This window comes from Homo sapiens, chromosome 2 (genome assembly GCF_000001405.40).
Source record: "Homo sapiens chromosome 2, GRCh38.p14 Primary Assembly".
NCBI lineage: Eukaryota > Metazoa > Chordata > Mammalia > Primates > Hominidae > Homo > Homo sapiens.
The window spans coordinates 10,252,838-10,260,133 of record NC_000002.12 but is presented as its reverse complement, the minus strand read 5'-3'; the positions used below and the strand labels follow the sequence as shown (position 1 = coordinate 10,260,133).

The 7,296-nt window shown below is 56.8% G+C and overlaps 2 annotated features.

The window, feature by feature from the left end:
• Positions 4,394-5,013: an enhancer, noted in NCBI's record as "H3K4me1 hESC enhancer chr2:10395247-10395866 (GRCh37/hg19 assembly coordinates)". NCBI's record gives its function as "activates a minimal SCP1, AML or CMV promoter by ChIP-STARR-seq in naive H9 embryonic stem cells {active_cell/tissue: H9 hESC(naive)}" and the evidence as "EXISTENCE:reporter gene assay evidence [ECO:0000049][PMID:30033119]".
• Positions 6,256-6,877: an enhancer, noted in NCBI's record as "H3K27ac-H3K4me1 hESC enhancer chr2:10393383-10394004 (GRCh37/hg19 assembly coordinates)". NCBI's record gives its function as "activates a minimal SCP1, AML or CMV promoter by ChIP-STARR-seq in naive H9 embryonic stem cells {active_cell/tissue: H9 hESC(naive)}" and the evidence as "EXISTENCE:reporter gene assay evidence [ECO:0000049][PMID:30033119]".

The window sequence follows — 7,296 nt, the reverse complement described above, 5'->3', positions numbered from 1 at the left end:
GCTCCTCCATCACCCCCTAGGGATCTCTCCAGCCAGGGCCAGGCTCCAAGATTTAAGGACAGCCTCAGGTGAGAAGGCCCTTTGGACTCAGAAAGAGCCGGTTCAAATCCCGGTTCCCTCATTGCCCGCTCTGTCCTTTTGGGCAAAGGCTTAAGCACACTGAATCTGTTTCATCTACAAGACGGCGCTCATAATGCCACCTTCGTGGGGCCCTGCTGCCAGGGTCTGAGAAGGCATCTTATAAAGCTGCCCATACACACAGACAGGCCTGGAACACAGGAGCCCCCAGCACTAGTGATGGCTGTTCTGCTTTGCTCTCTAGATAGAAAATAGTGCACAGGCCTCAAGATTCCCCAGACTTCACCACTACATACTTCCATGCACAGGTGCCTGGGCTCTGAGACTTCACTCTGCACAAGGTATGCGCTATTTAGTGTGAGCTCTCATTACACTGGGCAGTTTCTGACAGCATTTTAGCTGGGAACACAATACCCTATGGGTTTGCTTTGGGTCACAGGTTTATGTGACTTTGGAGAGAGCACATCTGGGCTCAAATGGCAATACACACAGGTTTGCTTGTCGTGGTTTAAGAAATAGGAATTACTGATCAACCCAAGAGTTGAGTGCTATTTCTTTCTTGTGCTAATACAGTGGCTGATATTAGGAACACCCACCACCCCTTCCAGGCCACAGGGATGGTGAAGTCCAAGGAGCAGTTGGGGAGAAATTCCTCTCACCACTCATATTTAAAAGGGAGGCTTGGCCAGGCTCAGTGGCTCATGCCTGTAATCCCAGCACTTTGGGAGGCCGAGGCGGGTGGATCACTTGAGGTCAGGAGTTTGAGACCAGCCTGGCCAACATGGTGAAACCCCATCTCTACTAAAAATACAAAAATTAGCCGGGCGTTGTGGTGCGTGCCTGTAGTCTCAGCTGCTCAGGAGGCTGAGGCAGGAGAATCACTTGAACCTGGGAGGTGGAGAGTGCAGTGAGCAGAGACTACACCACTACACTCCAGCCTGGGCAACAGAGTGAGACTCTGTCTCAAAAATAAAAAGAAAAAAATAAAAGGGAGGCTCTGGGGAAGCAGACAGAAGGGTCTAGTGGCAAATGGCCAGGGTTACTTTCTTCCTCTCATATGAACTCCTCAAGGATAGAGACCCTGGCCTCACCTAGGGTGTCCAGCCGTCCCACTTTGCCCAGGGCTTTGAGATTGAAAGTCTTGCATATTGAGTCTAGCATCCCAGGGAATTTCTCAGTGCCAGGCAAATCAAGATGATCGGTTGCTTTAGTTACTCCCAGTACACATATATAGTAGACACTGAACAAATATTTGTTGCATGAACAAATACAAACACATTTAATTTAGTTCCATTTAATACCATCGGATCTCACAGACTCATGTTGGACAGACAACCCATTTCCTGTGTGCTTTGCAGTTTGCAAATCTCCTTTGTGAAAACCACCCTGACCAGGTCCTCCTACTACTAGAAGGTGGTCGGAGGGTGGAGAGGTGGGAATCCCTCATAAGGAAGCCAAGGTCATTACTGTCTTCCTCCTAGCTCAGGGCAGCTGCAGGTCAGGGCATTGCTCATGGAGCAGAGCCTTGTGGGGACAGAGTGGGGCCCCGATGAGGGCAGGACCTTGAGGGGAAGGGGGTCCCCAGTGCTCTGTTAACCCCCAGGGTGAAGCTTCTCCTTCCAGAGCCTATGGGGAGGGAGGGTCTGCATCTTTTTTCAACAAGGTCGCATCCTTCAGTTCCCTCCCGACATTCTCAAAGGCATTTCGGTAGAGGGTGAGTTGGGAGAGAGTCTTGGAGAAAATAACAGCTCTGCCTGTAGGAGGGGAGTCCCCAGGGGTTCAAAGGTGAGCAAGGAGGAGGAAGGGACCCCACATTTCACCAGCAACGTGACTCCCACCACAGCGGGCAGTAGGTTCTGCTTCCGAAGCCAAGAGAACTGTAAGTGCAGCCCAGACAACCCTGCTTTCAGCAGAGGCTAAAATTCCTCCCTCTCCAAACTATGGCCCACACGCGTGTCATTAGGAAACTGTCAGGGGCTGTGAGCGTGGTCATCGCCTCAGATGGAGTCTCCCTTTTCCACAAGAGCAGTTCCTGGGCCACAGAAAAGACCTTCCCAGATAGTGAGGGTCACTCTCTTCCCAGGCCAGAGGCAGCTAAGATCCCTCTCTGAACTCTGGAGAGAATATTCCAGAATCCTCAGTGGGCATTTGAGGGTTGATGAGTCCCTCACATACCACGCACTGTGTCCACCAGCAGCACCCACCCGACACATGCCTCGGAGAAGCAGCTTTGGCTGGGTGTCTGCGGGCCTCGGCTCAGTGTGGAGGCACAGGGAGAGAACAGAGAGAGACTCTGAGTTTCAGGAGGAGCAGGGGCAGCTGCAGCAGGGGCAGCCAGACCCAAAGTCGTGGGGGCTGGTGGCCATGGGCAGGGTCTGCCGCAGAACTCTGCCTTGTGCCTCCTCCCTGCACTCACTGCCGCCACCACGGGCCCATCCTCCCTGGGCAGTGAGGCTCATTTTGCTCCCCACTTCCCTCTCTCTGCATGGGCATCCCATGATGTCCGTGTGCACGGTGCAGGCCAGCAAGCCTCCAGCGTGTTGTGTAGGGCTGGACGTATGGTGTCCATGGTTGTTTGTGCCCTTTTTTCTGGGGCCAGACCAACAAGGTGTGGTGTAAACGGGGTGTGTGTGTGTGTGTGTGTTTGTGTGTGTGTATGGGGGCATAGCCATGCCCACCAAATATAGGACATCACAAATGCATGATGGCAGAGATATCAGTGACAACGATGGGGACAGTCAATGTGGTGGGAGGGCAGATGGGTGGGGGAGATGGCAGGGGTGGTGACCGCACACTCATAGTGCAGAGAGTTCCCGTGCTCAGCCTGAGGGTCGAGGCAGCGGTCTCTCTGGGTCCTGCAGGTCTGGGCCTGCCATAAGCCCTCTGCAGACCTGGGCCCATTGTGTACCTCAGCTGCGGAGTCCAAGTCACTCCTTAACCTGTGGCGTGGCTTGGTTCATCCTGGTCAAATGCTGCACGTGATTATAAGAGCAGAACTCTAGGAAGAACTGGTCCCTGTGAGGAGAGGAGGGTGGCAAGGAGAGGCACGGCCTGTTGCTTCCCGCACCTGCTGGTCAGGGGGCGCTGCGTGAGGGAGGCATGTCCTGCAGCCTTTCTCCTCCATGTCCCTGGGAGCGAGCATTCTCACTTCACAGATTAGAAAGTCTTAACCACATTCATTTCCTGGCAATAGCCCAAGCAGTAGCTGTGGTGGGCCCGGAGCTGTGGACGCCTCGCCTCGGAAGGCAGAGTTTGTTTACCTCTGCAGTGTAGCACGCTGGGTGCTGAGCTGCTGCAAACACACTGCCCGTGAGAGGTGCCACCAGGCCAGCGGTGGAGGGTCTCAGGAGGCTGCCCTTGTGGCTGCGACCACACGCCAGGCAGCTGCCTCTTGGTCCCAGTCAGGACAGACCCTGCAGGGACGAGGTCAGCAGACGCCCTGCACTGGGGACAGGGAGTGAGGAAGCAGAAGGAGCCGAGGCCTGGGCTGTCCAGCCTGCTTCTCCCCCAGGCCCCTGGCACCTGCTGTGCTGGCTGTGTCCATCGCTCAAATCTCACCCAGCTGCTTCCCCACCGGGTCACCCGCGCCTTGGACCCACCTGTGTCCCTGTCCACCTTGGGGCCCACCTTGATCTCTGCTCCACCCCCAAACTCTCAGGTTGACACTGCAGATGCAGACCCCGATGCTGGCACCCAGAACTGGTTCTGGCCCTGCCCCCAGCTTCAGGCACCATGCCTGGATAGCCGCTGCTCCCATACCTGCCCTCCCCTGGCTTCTCCTGGTGTCTGCGGGCCTGCAGGCTGGGCTCCCTCTGCCCAGGTTCCTACTTAGCCGGCAGAACCACTCCAGCAGCGAGAGCAGGGGATGTGGGCACCGACCCTGCCCATGACTGTTCTCGCCCCCTCCAAGGCCTGTGGGAAGGAGGCCTCACACACCGGGGCCAGATGAAGAAAGAGTTGGCCCGAATGTGCCCTCTCTTCAGCAAGCCGCCCCTCCCAACACTCGTTTTCTGACCCCCACCCCACCCCCAATTTGGCACTCTCTGCCCCTCCCTTGGGGAGCTCTGTCAGTCTCTTAGGGGGATGATTTCGTTTCTGGGTGAACTGGCAGTTTCAGGCTTTGGCTAGAAGTGCTCTGCCCTAGCTGGGCTGGCTTCAAAGAAGGAAATGTGGGTTCTGGCCCGTGTGTGGGTGCTGGGGGGTGCACCCAGACTCCAGTGTGACTTCTCTAATGGGGAGCTTGACCAGCTGTGGCACAGGTGGCCACAGAGCAAGCTCACCTGGCTAAGGCAAGAATCCATTTTTTGCCCTGAAGAGTGAACCATGTCACGCTGCATGAGGAAGCATCTGTCCCTCCTGGTAGCACAGCCTGGCCCTGCTCCCTGCACACCAGGAACTGGCCTCAGTGGCCAAGGACACCCCCTCCTTCCCAGCCGGCTTGCCTCCCAGGCCCCGAGGGGTCAGTGTGGCTCTGCAGGGTGTGGCTCCCTCTCCAGTGAGACTCTTTAACCTCATAACCTCATCCTGCCCCCACTGCAGAAGAGGGGCTCTGCCAGCCCGACCTGGCATTGTCCTCAGGAGCACCTGGGACAGAGGACCTCTGGGAGAACTGGACTGAGCGCCAACAGCCCTGGACTTGAGGCCGGTTCTTCTGCTTCCTAGCGTGGGCCTCTCAAGCAGTTACTTAACGTCCTTGACCTCGGTTTTCTCATCAATAAAGTGGGTCGACAGTAAGGGGGCCTCCGGGGGTGAAGGCTGACCCCAGTGCCATGCACACAGCAAGCGACTGTCCGCTGAGTCAGGATCTAGACTCCGTAGCTGTGACCAGAGGGAGGGGCCAGTCCACCCGGCTCCTGGTCGGGGCTTAGACTCCGACAGCCCTGGCTCTGAGTCCCTCCAGCCAGTCTTCCTGCCACATTCCCTGGGCCTCCGAGTCCCCATCGGCAATGAGGAGAACACACTAGTGTCTGCTCCCCAGGACACCCCGGAGACGGGGCACGAAGAGCACTCCTGGCACGAAGAGCACTCCTGACGTCGTTACTAACAGCAGCCGGCGCATCCCGGCCAGGGCACCCCAGGGTATGCCAGGTTATCCCAGGGTATCGGCATCATTTCCCAGAACAACTCATTGTTTCCCTCAGGGTGAGCTGATGCTCCAAGCCCATATCCTCCCAGGCTTCAGACGAATGAGGCCCAGGAGGTTGCCTCCCCCTGCACCTGTGACTCAGCAGCTGCGAACCCAGCCCCAGCGAGGCTGATGAACACGGGAGCCCTCCAGCTGCCTCTGGGCAAGCCGGCCCTGGGCCAGGCCTGCTGGGGTCATTCAGATCTCAGCGCTAGAGTCCTGCACACAGCGTTGCCAGATGGAGCAGACGAAAATATAGGATGCCCATGCCCTTTGGGGACAGATACTAAAAACTCATTAGGTGTTTATCTAAAATTCAGACCTGACTGAGCGTCCTCTGTTTCATCTGGCCACTGACCTGCACAGCTCTGCCTCCCTGCCTTTCCCCCCATCCCTAGTGATACGGGGCTGGGAAGATCCGAACCGCCGCGCCAGGCCCGGCTCAGGGCAAGCTCGCCAGGAATGCCGTGTCCTGAGTTAGACCAGCTCTCTCCAGCCACCAGGGGAATCACAGTCTTCTGTCCCCTTGCTTGGGAGGCTGATGTCCCCAGCGTGTCACCCTGCTCTGAATGTGGGGCTCCAGATCAGAGTCTCATGAAGTCGCTGGTAGCAACGTCTCAAGCCAGAAGTCGACCACACCCAGCCCCACCCGTCAGCCCTCTTCCTCCCCCAGGCCAGCAGAACCTGGGAGGCTGTGTTGGAGGCAAGGCCTTTGAGAGGGTTTCCCAACACCCTGTTCTCTCCCAGCGCCCGCCCTGGTCTCCAGGCAGTCAGGGGGACAGGGGCTCTTCATGGACGGAGGAGCTGCCAAAGCTGGCCTCGCTCCCCGAGACCCACATTTCCAGGGAGCAGCCACCACACTCGCCTCAGGGCTCACTTCTTTAATCCTGGGGCCCAAGCACCCACAGCCTCTTCCCTAGCCCTCTGTAGACAAGGAAGACCCGGCTTGAGGGCCTCTTGCCCCAGAATCATCTTGAGAGCCCTGAGTCCTGCCCGACCTTCCGCCCTGACTGGAATTCTTGGGCTGGGCCTGGGCTGCCTGTTCATAGTGACTGCCATGAACATTCGAATTTGAGAGCCTCCAAGGAAGGGGACAGCCCCAGGGAAATAAACAGGGAAAGTATGTGACCTGAGGCGGCAATCTCTAGGACATGCAGGCCCCACCGCCCCAAGCACAGCCCTGCCCTCTGGGCTCCTCGGAAGGAGGAGCTGCTGGGAAGTCCTGCTTGGTCAGGCAGCATGTGAAGAGCCTCCCCTGTGGGTTAAAGCTGGTGCTCCATCCTGCCCTCCAGGAGTAGGAGACAAACGGGAGACAAATGCAGGAGCCTGGGGGCTGGAACAGGAAGAGTCCTGCAGCTCTCCAGAAGAGGCGCACCCTCACTGCGTCTTAGCCAGGAAGGGTGTTTTTGGGAAGGGGAATGGCGTGAGCAAAAGGCTGGAGGCTTGAAGAAGCAACTGTGTGCCCCTCGGAGTCAGAGCAAGGAGCGAGAGGCAGGCAGCTGCTGGGGAGTCCTGTCCTGCTGGGAGAGCTCAATTTGACACTGGGTGGGCGTATGCCAACTTCAGGGACAGAAAAATTACCCAGGGGGCAGGGCGCGGTGGCTCACACCTGTAATCCCAGCACTTTGGGAGGCTGAGGCAGGGGATCACCTGAGGTCAGGAGTCCGAGACCAGCCTGGCTAACATGGTGAAACCCCATTTCTACTAAAAATACAAAAAATTAGCTGGGCCTGGTGGCACACGCCTATAATCCCAGCTACTCGGGAGGCTGAGGCAGGAGAATTGCTTGAACATGGGAGGCAGAGGTTGCAGTGAGCCAAGATTGCACCATTGCACTCCAGCTTGGGCAACAAGAGTGAAACTCCGTCTCAAAAAACAAAACAAAACAAAAAAACAGAAAAATCGCCCAGAGAACGTCCACTTAAACACACCTGTTTATTTCCTCCTCCAGTGAATGCTATTAAAATAACAGAAAAGGAAGTCAAGAAGGGTGAACTTGGAGGCACCAGGTCCCACAGAAGGCAGCAGAGAGAGGCAAGGGCAGAAAATAAGCAGGGAGACTGGATGACAATTCAAATGTAGGGTGGTTAGGT